The sequence below is a fragment of the Homo sapiens genome, chromosome 12 (genome assembly GCF_000001405.40).
Source record: "Homo sapiens chromosome 12, GRCh38.p14 Primary Assembly".
In the NCBI taxonomy this organism is placed as follows: domain Eukaryota; kingdom Metazoa; phylum Chordata; class Mammalia; order Primates; family Hominidae; genus Homo; species Homo sapiens.
Window position 1 is genome coordinate 85,076,056 of NC_000012.12, and position 13,814 is coordinate 85,089,869.

The window sequence follows — 13,814 nt, forward strand, 5'->3', positions numbered from 1 at the left end:
ATTACTACTATTTTTATACTACATTAAAACTCTTTATGCTGAACAAATGTAATGATTTTGACATTTTTTCAAAATAAATTTATTGAGTACCTATATGTATAAGCGCTTTTTCAGCACTGAAATATTTCTGGGGATGTAGCAATAAACAAAATAAATGATTATCTTGACTTTTTCCACACAAAACAAACGACTCTCTTGACTTTAATATCATAGTGATATACATTTTCTCTATATATATGGAATTGGAATAAGTTATTTCTTTTATTAAATATTGAATAAAAATAAAAATAAATATAATGTTAACATGTAAGAGTAAATGATCATTTTTATATTCTTGTTCATGATGTATCTGTTTCTGTTTAGGAAAACTTTAATCTGAAAAAATATTTCTTTAATTTAAGCAATATATTTGCCAATTTATAAATTTCACATCATATATTCCTAAAAATTATCATGTAAATAGTAGAGATACTAAGAGTTTTTTTCCTTCTTTATTTTCTAGATAATACTGCTTTCTGGAAAATTGCCCACTAGTATTGTAAATATGAAAGATATGGAAATAATTTAACATTTTCACATAGGCTTGATTGCTGTGTCGTGGCTCATAGTGCTTGGAATAATTCTTGCTTTCAAATATTGTCTTTGAATCATTGGGAGGAAAAATAAAGTAAGAACTCTAGACATTTTGCTTATAAGAATCTTTTTCACTATTACCTATTCAGTGATTTTTTTTTTTTTTGGAGTCCACTAGATGGTGCTAGCTTACTTGTTAGTTTTGAAGGGCAACACAATGCTTAGTGTAAAGCTGAAAGGGATCTTAGGTATCTCGCCAGTCTAGGCTGCTTAGTTTACAGATGAAAAAACACCCACATAGTTTTCATCTAACTCATGGCAGAGGTAGGGCTGGGATCCAAGTTTCCTGATTCCTGTTTCAGTATTACTCTTTCTATACAACATGTATAATCCTGAAGTACTTTTGCACTAAAATTAAAAAGTCTCAAGTGCAACTTTGTATATTTGTATGTGTGAATGAAAAACCATCAGACATGGCAATCAGTGAACAGCTGAAGGAGGTTGATCTTCAGTGAAAAACCTCCAGCCTAATTTAACATTTTTAATTTTGCTGTTCCTTACAGAATTTTCTCCCCTGTGGCAGGAATGTTTTATTAGACCATTGGCTCATTTCTGTGGGAAGAATTATTTGAAATAGATATTTGTAGAAAGTATGGCCAAAAGTTAATTTTGCCATGGGCATGAGCCCTTTGAAGAGTAAACACACTTGACTTAAGTTTTATTTTGTGAGATCTAGGAAACTTTAAAAGAGCTGTTAAAAGAATATATTTAACCAGTAAGCTAAACAATATTTAAGCAAGTCTTTATTTGTATTATATTTAAGTCCTTTGAAAAGGCTCTTTAATATTTTTGTGGCTATTGTTTGTTTTATTTTGAATAGGGCAGGGGAAGAAATATTGGATATTTTATCTGGGAAAGAATAATTTTCTTAGAGGTGTTAAGGAATTAATGGTATCCTAAGATAGGACTTGCTATAAGTTTATTTTACTCAGTTGTCAGCCTTTATTTGACATTAAAGAATTTGTAAAATTAGGACAGGCATGGTGGCTTACACCTGTAATCACAGCACATGGTGGCTTACACCTGTATTCACAGCACTTTGGGAGGCCAAGCTGGGCAGATGGCTTGAGCTCACGAGTTGGAGACCAGCCTGGGCAACATAGTGAGACCTCATTTCTACTAAAAATAAAAAAATAAAATAAACAAAAAATAAGCCAGGTGGGCTGGTGCATGCTTGTAGCTCCAGCTACTTGGGAGGCTGAGATGGGAGAATCACTTGAGCTTGGGGGATCAAGGCTGTAGTAAGCCGAGATCACACCAATGCACTCCAACCTGGGCACCAGAACGAGACCCTGTCTCAAAAAAAAAAAAAATTGATTAAAGACAAAGGGTAGCAACTTACTCTAACTTCATTTACATCTAGAACCCGCCCACCCCTTCCATCCAAGTGCATTTATGGAATCGATTACTGTTTAATCAGTTGTGAATAGAGTTTTTGGAATGTATATTAATATTGTTTCTCCTTTAATGTTTGACTCAAAATTCAGCCCTCTCTGAAGCCTTATTTGGTCACCACAAATTTATAGTTTTAAACTCCTTGTTTTATTAAGAATAATTATTGGGAAATAATAATAGCTATCATTTTTAGTAGCTATCTTGTGAAAATCCTGTATAATATTATTTTTAATCCTCATAATGAGGTGAAGTTACCCTCACTCTATAAATAAAAAAGCTAAAGCTCAGAGAAGTTAAGTCACTTGTCTACCTTCAAATAGCTAGTTTGGGAGTAGGCTTGTTTTTTACAACTCAGGACAGCCTACTTCAGAACCTATATATTTTTGTTATGCCACCTGCCTGTTGATTAAGTGTGGTACTGATAATATTAGCAATGACTTCATGATTATTGTAGTTCAATCTTTTTATTCTTATATATTTTTTTACTTTAAATGTTTTTGAGGGCATGCTATTTGGTGCCTGCAAATTTATAACTGTTACATGTTTCTGTTAAATTGACCAGTTTCATCATTTTAAAACGTCTCTTTTCATAGGTAGTAAAGCTTTCTGCTTTAGTCTTCTGTGTCTTATATAATTAAACGAGCTTTATTTTAGATGCAGGACTGTTTTACATTCTCAGAAATTATTGAGGACCTCTCTCAAATAACTTATTTGTATGGGTTATGTCTAGCAATATTGCCAAGTAGTCGAAAAAAAATTTTTTTACGTTTTATTAATTCATTTAGAATTTCAAATAATAAAACTTTTGGATTCACAAAAATTTTATAAATGTTAATTCTGTTTTCTAAACAAAGAGTTATACTGGGAAGAAGGGTGTTGTTACACATTTTTGTAAATCTCTTTAATGTCTGACTTAACACAAGACATCTGGGTTCTCATATTTGCCTCTGCAGTCAATTTGCTATAATATCACAAGTCATGTAGCCTCTGGAAAACTCCACTATACTCTCTTGACCAAATGAGAGTGAAAAACCAAATAGCATTTTGGAATTATTATGAAAGCAGTACTGACTTTACAGAATCTTTAAAAGCATCTCTGGGAGGTCTCTGGACCACACTTTGAGAACCACTAGTTTAGTGTTCACATGATGTATCTTTATCTTTTTTTTTTTTTTTTTTTTTTTGAGATGGAGTCTCACTCTGTCTCGGCTTACTGCAAGCTCCGCCTCCCGGGTTCAAGCAATTCTGTTGCCTCAGCCTCTTGGGTAGATGGGATATTACAGGCGCTCACCACCATGCCCGGCTAATTTTTTGTATTTTTAGTAGAGACGGGGTTTCACCATGTTGGCCAGACTGGTCTCGAACTCCTGACCTTGGGGTCCGCCTGCCTCCACCTCCCAAAGTGCTGGGATTACAGGTGTAAGAGCTGCCACCATGCCCAGCCTCTATCTTTTTACTTAAAATATGTCTACAAATTTTGTTTCCAGTTTGTCTCTTTTTTGTAACACGAAAATTTGTTGATTTTGTTATTGCTTTATCTGGACTGGCTTACAAACTCTAGCTTTGATTTGTAGCCATTAGTCCTTAGCAATTAATTAGTTATATCATTAATTTCATATAATCATTGATGTATTTGAGATTAAACCATCTTACTATTTTTTATTCTGTTCATTCTGCCTGCTTTTTTCTTTTTGCCCTTATTTGGTTTGACTGAGGTTTTAAATTATTTCATTTTTTCCTCTTATATTTACCAGCTACATATTATTTTTCTATTCTTTTAGGTTACTATAGAAAAGATGACTATACCAATGGTAGTATTATTATGTAATAATATAGTATAAACTTTCCATTGCTCTTTATTTTGTCTTTCATCTACAATGTTCCTTCTGCCCAAAGAATATCTATTAGTATTTCCTTTATTGTAGGTCTGCTGGTGATGAATTCTTCAGATATTATATGCTTAAGTATGTTTTTAATACACACGCGCACACACGTACCCACAAATACATATACGTACGTGTGTGTGTCTATTTGAGGTATAGACTTACCATTTGTATTGCAATTTTTGCATTGTAAATATATTTTATTGTATTCTAGCTTTCCTGGCTTAAGTTGATCCTTGAAATATAATTTTCTTTTTCCATTTTTGAGATTTTTTTCTTTGTCCATTTTGGTTACCTTAATATTCACTCTGTCTGAATTCATTGTGCCTCCTAAATCTGTGGCTCAGTGTCTGTATTCAATGTTGAAAAATTCCAAATACACATGTTTTTATGATTTAATATATGTTAACAGATATAATTATTATATGTAACAATATATATTTAATGTAATATAGAGGGCATAATATATTTAATGTCTTTTATATGAGATGTATGTCCTATACTTTTCTTATATATGTATATTTTTTATAATTATACTCAAAATTATTGTATATTTCATTTGTCTCCATGTATTTCTCTGGATATTTTCTTTTAACTCAATTTACAGTTTCCTAGTCCTTCAAGCACATCTAATATAATGTTCAATCTATCCATGAAAGTGTTGTTTGCAGTTGTTGTAGTTTTTGGTTTTAGAATTTTTACTTGTTTTTTTTTTTACTTGACATTCAATTTGCATTTTTATAGTATCTAGTATTCAGGTATTTAATTTTAACTTTTATTTAACGTGTTCAGCAAAGTTTTTTTATATTCTGTGTCTGGTAACTTCATTATCTGGATTTCCAGTGGGTAGTTTCTATTACTTGTTGTTTTTCTTTATTTTTGGTCACTTAGTGTTATTTTCTTGCTTATTTTTTATTATTTGGCAGACAGAGAATACTATGAAAAAATAAAATTGTGGAACCAATTAGAGGCTAGTATATTATTATTTTCCTCTAGAGGTCCTTAGTTTTTACTTAGGGCAATCTCTGTGTAGTTGAATCTATACATTGGTATTGAGATTATTTGAAGTTTAGCTTCAGGCCCTCAGAACCCTTTCTGTATTTGAATGATTCTTACTCTTAAGGGATAGTGCATGCTGATCCCAACCAAAAGTAAGGTAGGGGTTTCTTAGGTCTACTCTGATGAAGAGGGCCCTAGAAGCCAAATTGTGACCTCCTAGGTTTGTAAGCTTTCTTTCTGAGGATTACTAGATATCCTGAAAGATGTGATCTTCTCACTTTTGAATCTTAACCGTATGATTCGGTAGTACCATTTTAATCCTTTAATGTCTTGAGCAGATATGTTTATATAATTTTCAGTTTTTCTACTTCTCAACAGATGAACTGTCCTTCATTACCTAGTCCATTATTACTATAATCAGAAAGCTTGTGCAACATATTCTATTTCTCCTTCCTCTCCTCTGTTGTCTTCTTTTGGATTGGCTTTTTTTTTTGTCATTTCTTGTTTTATTCATGAATTCCTTTAGTAGCTATATACTTTATTAATTTAATGGTTACTGCAGAAATTAAAAGTACACACTTAATTTATCTCAAATTAATATCTTTACCTCCTGTTTCCTGACTTAAAGGTGTGTGTGTTGCAGGATTTTAAATGTATTTTTATTTAACTCCGCAAGGAAAACATAATGATTATTTTTATAAAGTTTAATTATATTTGCTGACATTTGTCATTTTTATGCCCTTTATTTCTTCTTCTTCTTTTTTTTTTTTTTTTTTTTGAGACAGTCTCACTCTGTTGCCTTGGCTGGAGTGCAGTGGTGGGGTCTCAGCTCATTGCAACCTGTGCCTCCCAGTTTCAGGCTATTGTGCCTCAGCCTCCTGAGTAGCTAGGACTATAGGTGTACACCACCAAGCCTGGCTAATTTTTTTGTATTTTTAGTAGAGAAGGGGTTTCACCATGTTGGCCAGGCTGGTCTCAAACTCCTGACCTCAAGTCATCTGCTCGCCTCGGCGTCCCAAAGTGCTCAGATTACAGGCATGAGCCACTGTGCAGGGCCTCTTCTTTTATTAAAACTTTGACTCACTTTTCTTCCTTTTGATGTAGATCCTTTACATTTTTCTCTAGTAAGAAAATTGGTAGGTGGGAAACTCTACTGGATTTTGTCTGTAAATATCTTTCCTTAACACTTATTTAAATTATAATTTGTATTTTTCTAGGTCGAAGTTTATTTCAGTAATTTGAAGTATCAATCTATTATTATTATTGTTATTATTATTAACTTTTACTTTCACCAATGCAGTTAAGAATGCTATCGGTTATTTTTGGACTTTTGAGGATATTTTCTGTCTTCTTCAAATATCTTTTCTTTGTCTTTGCGGTTATGCACCTTTACATTGATGTGTCTAGGCAGGGATTTGTTTTTGATTCATCCTGTCGGGGCTTATTGCAGTTCATGAATATGTGGATTGCTTTTTTATTGTATCTATTTGTCTGCCATTATTTCTTCAAATATTTTTTCCTTTTCATTTGTTTTCTCCTTCTGAAACATTATGTATGTGTGATATATTTATTTTTATATCCTTGACTCTAGGCTTCATGTTGCCTGTATTCTATATCTCTATCTCTCTTTGATGCCCATAGGTAATTTATATGTATACATCTATGTCCCAGTTGACAAACTTGAAATTGCTCTTAATCGAGCTCATTGAGTTTTAAAACTTCAGCTAATTCTAATTTCCATGTAGTTCTGTTTCTGTGTGTTTTATTATTTCTGCTAACTCTTATGATACCATATTGCATTGTGTATTTCATGCCTTTTATTGTTTGGGTTTGGTTTTCTTGTTTATTGTCATCTTTTTATTTGCCCTGGAACATAAGTTTGTGATTATTCTTAGATTTGGAATGAAAGTTTGGCCTCTAGAAATAATTTTTCAGGTGGCTGGGGACACAAACAATCTACAGTCATTTATGGTACGTTTCTAGTGGCGGTTTTCTGATCACTATCTGAGCAAATCTGAGCTACAAACCTATGGGAGTGTCAGCTTGTGTTTATTATTTTTTAAATGAGATTTTTATCCCACTCTACTGAATATTGAGATTCGGGATAAGAGATTTAACTTTCAGCAATGTATAGCTGATTGATGTTCCAGGTTTGTGTGGGATTGTAGGTTATACCTGTCCACCTTAGGTGCATTTTGAATTTTGTTTCCTTAAGTTCTGAGGCTGCAGAAATGGATTGTCATATTCATCAGTTTAACAAGTTTTCTCACTTTAAAAAGTAGCTTTATTGTTTTGCTTATCTCTCTTTGCTTGCCATATTTATTTAGATTTTTGAATGAGAATTCATTACTTTCATAGCAGCTCTTTTGGAAATATTCTAAAAAAGATGACTTTTTAGTTATTTGCAGAGGTGAGGATGATCAGGCTATCTGAACAGAAATTTCTGAAAATGGATTATTAATTTTTTTCTAAGTAACTTTTTTTTTTTTTTTTAAGACGGAGTCTCACTCTGTCGCCAGGCTGGAGTGCAGTGGCCTGATCTCAGCTCACTGCAACCTCCACCTCCCAGGTTCAAGTGATTCTCCTGCCTCAGCCTCCCGAGTAGCTGGGATTACAGGCATGTGTCACCACGCCCAGCTAATTTTTGTATTTTCAGTAGGGACGGGGTTTCACCATGTTGGCCAGGATGGTCTCAATCTCTTGACCTCGTGATCTGCCTGCCTTGGCCTCCCAAAGTGCTGAGATTACAGGCATCAGCCACCGCACCCGGCCTGGTAATTTTTGTCTACATAATTAATACCTGCCTATTGTCTAAAAATTATACTGTAAAATGATAAAGCAGTAATCTATAATTGTGTCATCCAGATACAGCCAGTATGTATGAGCCTTCCAGATTGTTTTCTGTGCATTTGGAAAATCACTGCTGTAATTCTCTTAACAATAAATTGTATTTTTATATGTCAGTAATTATTTTTCTACTTGTATTTATCATATAAGAGATACTTGAAAGCAGAGATTCTGTCTTGTATTATTTTCTGTCTCCCAGATGACATGACACAGTGCTGAAACTAGTAAAACCAGTCTCTTATGAGTTTTATATCAGAGTAAAGCTATTTTTGGAAAAATAGATTTTCATATTTGTAAAAATGTAGAGAATATAATTGGTTTATATCTGCTTACATATAACATTCTATGCCTATTATTTCAAGAAATTAGAAACAAAAATCACATACAACTATTAAAATAAAATTGCAATAAAAATAGCAAACACCTGAATAGAAATTCAATAATCTTTGAGTACCAACAAATGTAAACACTAAACAAAATGTGCTCATATATGAAGGAGACATAGCATATGAAAAAAGTTGATTAAAATAATAATTTTTTTGAAATGAACATTGTAATAATTCAGCCAATGATGCCTACTTTTTCTATATAAGTAAATGTAGTTAGGGTACAGTTTAATTAGAAAAAGTTCAAGTGGATAATTAAGTAACTTTTAATTGATAATAATACTTATTATTGCTAGGGTATATGTAAACTGATATGTTTTCCGCATAGATTTTATATTTTAATATTAAAGAAATGTTTAAAGTTTTAGTACTGCTTTTGAAATGAAGTCTGAATTTTACACTACTGAAACAGAATATCAATTTTAATGTTTTAAAAGTACAGTGAGGCTGGGCATGGTGGCTCATGCCTGTAATCCCAGCACTTTGGGAGGCTGAGGGAGGCAGATCACCTGACGTCAGGAGTTCAAGACCAGCCTGGCCAACATGGTGAAACCCTGTCTCTACTAAAAATACAAAAATTAGCCAGGCATGGTGGCGCATGCCTGTAGTCCCAGTTACTTGGTAGGCTGAGGTGGAAGGATCACTTGAACCCAGAAGGCAGAGGTTGCAGTGAGCTGAGATCGCGCCACTGCACTCCAGCCTGGGCAACAGAGTAAGACTCCATCTCAAAAAAAAAAAAAAGAAGTACAATGATTTATAAAGTAAGTCATTCTGGAAATATATTATGGTACTAAAAATCATTTTATAATGCCAAAAAGCATCCACTTGTCAATTATGGTTGTAACATTTATTCTCAGACAATTTTCCTACAGATAATTTACTAAGATGAGACATAGTATTTGTTTTTTTGCGTGTTTCCCCCGCCCCCCAATTTATTTAGTTTCAGGGATTGTATTAGTCTGTTTTCACAGTGTGATAAATACCCGAGACTGGGTAATTTATAAAGGGAAGAGGTTTAATTGATTCGCAGTTCCGCACAGCTGGAACAGTTCTGCAACAGTTCTTCAGGAAACTTACAATCATGGTTAAAGTAAGCAAAGGAAGAACTTGCCAAATACTTACAAAACCACCAGATCTCATGAAAACTCACTCACTATCACAAGAACAGCATAGGGGGATCTGCCACTTGGGTCTCTCCCTCAGCACTTGGGGATTACAATTCAAGATGAGATTTTGGTGGGGACAGAAAGCCTAACCATATCAGGGGGAATATGTGCAGGTTTGTTACACGGGTAAATGGCATGTTGCTGAGGTTTGTTGTATGCATAATCCCTTTACCCAGATAGTGAGCATAGTATCCAATAGGTACTTTTTCAACCACTCCCTGCTTCACTCTCTCCCCTCTGGTAGTTTCTACTATTTATTGTTCCCATCTTTATGTCCATACATACCCAATGCTTAGCTCCCACTTATAGTTGAGAAGATGTAGTATTTGGTTTTCTGTTTCTTTGTTAATTTGCTTAGGATAATGGTCATCAGCTGCATCCATATTACTGCAGAGGACATGGTTTCATTCTTCTTTATGGCTGTGTAGTATTCCATGGTGTGTATGTACTACATTTTCTTTATCCAGTTCCCTGTTTCTAGTCATCTAGGTTGATTCCATGTCTTTGCTGTTGTGAATAATGCTACAATGAACATACAAGTGCAGATATCTTTTTGGTGGAATGATTTACTTTCCTTTAACTATATATTTAGTAATGGTATTGTTGGGTCAAATGGTAGTTCTAATTTCTTTGAGAATTCTCTAAACTGTTTGAACAGTCACTGAACTAATTCACGTTTTCACCAATGGTGTATAAATGTTCCCTTTTCTCTGCAACCTCTCCAACATCTGTTATTTTTTGACTTTCTTACTAATGGCCATTCTGACTAGTGTGAGATGGTATATCATTGTGATTTTAACTTACAATTCTCTAATGATAAGTGACGCAGAGCATTTTTTTCACATATTTGTTGACTGCATGTATGTCTTTGATATAGCTTAGATATTTGTTCCTACCCAAATCTCATATTAAATTGTAATCCTCAGTGCTGGAGGTGGGGCCTGATGGGAGGTGTTGTGTCATGGGGGAGGCTCCCTCATGGCATGGTGTTGTCTTCTGGATACTGAGTTGTCGTGAGGTCTGGTGGTTTAAAAGTGTGTAGCACCTCACCCCCACTCTTGTCACTTGCTCCTGCTTTTGCCATGTGACATGCCTGCTCCCCTTTTGCCTTCTGCCATGATTGTAAACTTCCTGAGGCCTTGCTAGGAGCCAAGCAGATGTCAGCACTATGCTTCCTGTAAAGCCTGGAGAATATGAAACAATTAAATATCTTTTCTTTATAAATTACCCAGTCTTAGGTATTTCTTTTCTTTTTTTTTTTTCTGGAGAGATGCACCCTCCTCCGAAGGAGGTTGTGATTATAAATAACAAAATAAATATCAAATTTGTGTAGATACAGTTGATGAAACTGAGATTCAGGGAGGTGGTGCCACTTCACCAGAACTCAACAACTAGAAAGTGACAGAGTGTTATAGAAACAAGTCTGTCTGAAACTAAAGCCTGGTTCTTTGTACTCAACAATGGAAATCTCTCCTCCTCCTGGCTTACAGGGGGAGTAGAAGCCCAGACTGCCTTACTCACTACTTTCTCCTCCACTTTGCATTCAACGATTGAATCTCAGATTGTTCTTCATTATTATTATTATTATTATTATTATACTTTAAGTTCTAGGGTACATGTGCACAACGTGCAGGTTTGTTACATATGTATACATGTGCCATGTTGGTGTACTGCACCCATTAACTCGTCATTTACATTAGGTATATCTCCTAATGCTATCCCTCCCCATCCCCCCACCCCACGACAGGCCCTGGTGTGTGATGTCCCCCATCCTGTGTCCAAGTGTTCTCATTGTTCAATTCCCACCTATGAGTGAGAACATGTGGTGTTTGGTTTTCTGTCCTTGCAATAGTTTGCTCAGAATGATGGTTTCCAGCTTCATCCATGTCCCTACAAAGGACATGAACTCATCATTTTTTTATTACTGCATAGTATTCCATGGTGTATATGTGCCACATTTTCTTAATCCAGTCTATCATTGATAGACATTTGGGTTGGTTCCAAGTCTTTGCTATTGTGAATAGTGCCGCAATAAACATATGTGTGCATGTGTCTTTATAGCAGCATGATTTATAATCCTTTGGGTATATACCCAGTAATGGGATACCTGGGTCAAATGGTATTTCTAGTTCTAAATCCTTGAGGAATCACTACACTGTCTTCCACAATGGTTGAACTAGTTTACAGTCCCACCAACAGTGTAAAAGTGTTCCTGTTTCTCCACATCCTCTCCAGCACCTGTTGTTTCCTGACTTTTTAATGATTGCCATTCTAACTGGTGTGAGATAGTATCTCATTGTGATTTTGATGTGCATTTCTCTGATGATCAGTGATGATGAGCATTTTTTCATGTGTCTGTTGGCTGCATAAATGTCTTCTTTTGAGAAGTGTCTGTTCATATCCTTTGTCCACTTTTTGATGGAGTTGTTTGATTTTTTTCTTGTAAATTTGTTTAAGCTCTTTGTAGATTCTGGATATTAGCCCTTTGTCAGATGGGTAGATTGCAAAAATGTTCTCCCATTCTGTAGGTTTCCTGTTCACTCTGATGGTAGTTTCTTTTGCGATGCAGAAGCTCTTTAGTTTAATTAGATCCCATTTGTCAATTTTGGCTTTTGTTGCCATTGCTTTCGGTGTTTTAGATATGAAGTCCTTGGCCATGCCTATATCCTGAATGGTATTGCCTAGGTTTTCTTCTAGGGCTTTTATGGTTTTAGGTCTAACATGTAAGTCTTTAATCCATCTTGAATTAATTTTTGTATAAGGTGTGAGGAAGGGATCCAGTTTCAGCTTTCTACATATGGCTAGTCAGTTTTCCCAGCACCATTTATTAAATAGGGAATCCTTTCCCTATTTCTTGTTTTTGTAAGGTTTGTCAAAGATCAGATGGTTGTAGATGTGTGGTATTATTTCTGAGGGCTCTGTTCTGTTCCATTGGTCTATATCTCTGTTTTGGTACCAGTACCATGCTGTTGTGGTTACTGTAGGCTTGTGATGTAGTTTGAAGTCAGGTAGCATGATGCCTCCAGCTTTGTTCTTTTGGCTTAGGATTGTGTTGGCAATGTGGGCTCTTTTTTGGTTCCATATGAACTTTAAAGTAGTTTTTTCCAATTCTGTGAAGAAAGTCATTGGTAGCTTGATGGGGATAGCATTGAATCTATAAATTACCTTGGGCAGTATGGCCATTTTCATGATGTTGATTCTTCCTATCCATGATGATGGAATGTTTTTCCATTTGTTTGTGTCCTCTTTTATTTCGTTGAGTAGTGGTTTGTAGTTCGCCTTGAAGAGGTCCTTCACATCCCTTGTAAGTTGGATTCCTAGGTATTTTATTCTCTTTGAAGCAGTTGTGAATGGAGTTACTTATGATTTGGCTCTCTGTCTGTTATTGGTGTAGAGGAATGCTTGTGATTTTTGCACATTGATTTTGTATCCTGAGACTTTGCTGAAGTTGCTTATCAGCTTAAGGAGATTTTGGGCTGAGACAGTGGGGTTTTCTAAATATACAATCATGTCATCTGCAAACAGAGACAATTTGACTTCCTCTTTTCCTAATTGAATACCATTTATTTCTTTCTTCTGCCTGATTGCCCTGGCCAAAACTTCCAACACTGTGTTGAATAGGAGTGGTGAGAGAGGACATCCTTGTCTTGTGCCAGTTTTCAAAGGGAATACTTCCAGTTTTTGCCCATTCAGTGTGATATTGGCTCTGGGTTTGTCATAAATAGCTCTTATTATTTTGAGATACGTCCCATCAATACCTAATTTATTGAGAGTTTTTAGCATGAAGTGCTGTTGAATTTTGTCAAAGGCCTTTTCTGCATCTATTGAGATAATCATGTGGTTTTTGTCTTTGGTTCTGTTTATATGATGGAGAAGTTTCTCAGTTATTTCTTTATAGCAGTGTAAGAATGGTCTCATGCAGAAAATTGGTATCAAGAAGAGGGGCATTGCTATAAAGATACCTAAAAATTTTGAAACAGCTTTGGAACTGCATAACAGGGAGACATTCAAAGAGTTTGGAGGGCTTAGAAGAAGATAGGAAGATGAGAGAAAGTTTGGAACTTATTGGAGCCTGGATAAATGGTTGTTGCCAAAATGCTGATAGTGATATGGACAGTGACATCCAGGATGCAGAGGTCTCAGATACAAATGAGAAACTTATGGGGAATTGGCAAGATTATGTGTGTTATGCCTTAGCAAAGAGTGAGGCTGCATTGTATTCATACCCTAGTGATTGTTGGGCATTTGGACTTGAAAGTGGTGATTTATGATTATCTGATTAAAGAAACTTCTAAGCAGCAAAGGGTTCCAGACTTCGCCTGGCTGCTTCTAACAACCTGTGTTCAGATGTGGTAGCAAAATAATGACTTATAGTTGGAACTTGTATTTAAAAGGGAAACAAAGCATAAACGTTTGGAGAATTTTCAGTCTGGCATATGGTAGAGAAAGAAAAAAGCTTTTTTGGGGGGAGTAATTAAAGCAGGCTGTAGAGAAATTACTTGCTA

General features: G+C 35.0%; 1 protein-coding gene across 22 annotated transcripts in view; it reads left to right on the top strand.

The window, feature by feature from the left end:
- Positions 1 to 13,814, top strand: part of LRRIQ1 (leucine rich repeats and IQ motif containing 1) — a 236,455-nt gene that overhangs the window by 39,705 nt on the left and 182,936 nt on the right. For 2 of the 22 annotated variants that reach the window (XR_944765.3, XR_944766.3), the window contains one exon: positions 503 to 667. The exons of the other annotated variants lie outside the window; for them this stretch is intronic. The gene's annotated coding sequence lies outside the window, so the exon portion shown is untranslated. The remainder of the gene's footprint in view (positions 1 to 502; positions 668 to 13,814) is intronic. 22 annotated transcript variants of the gene reach the window in all.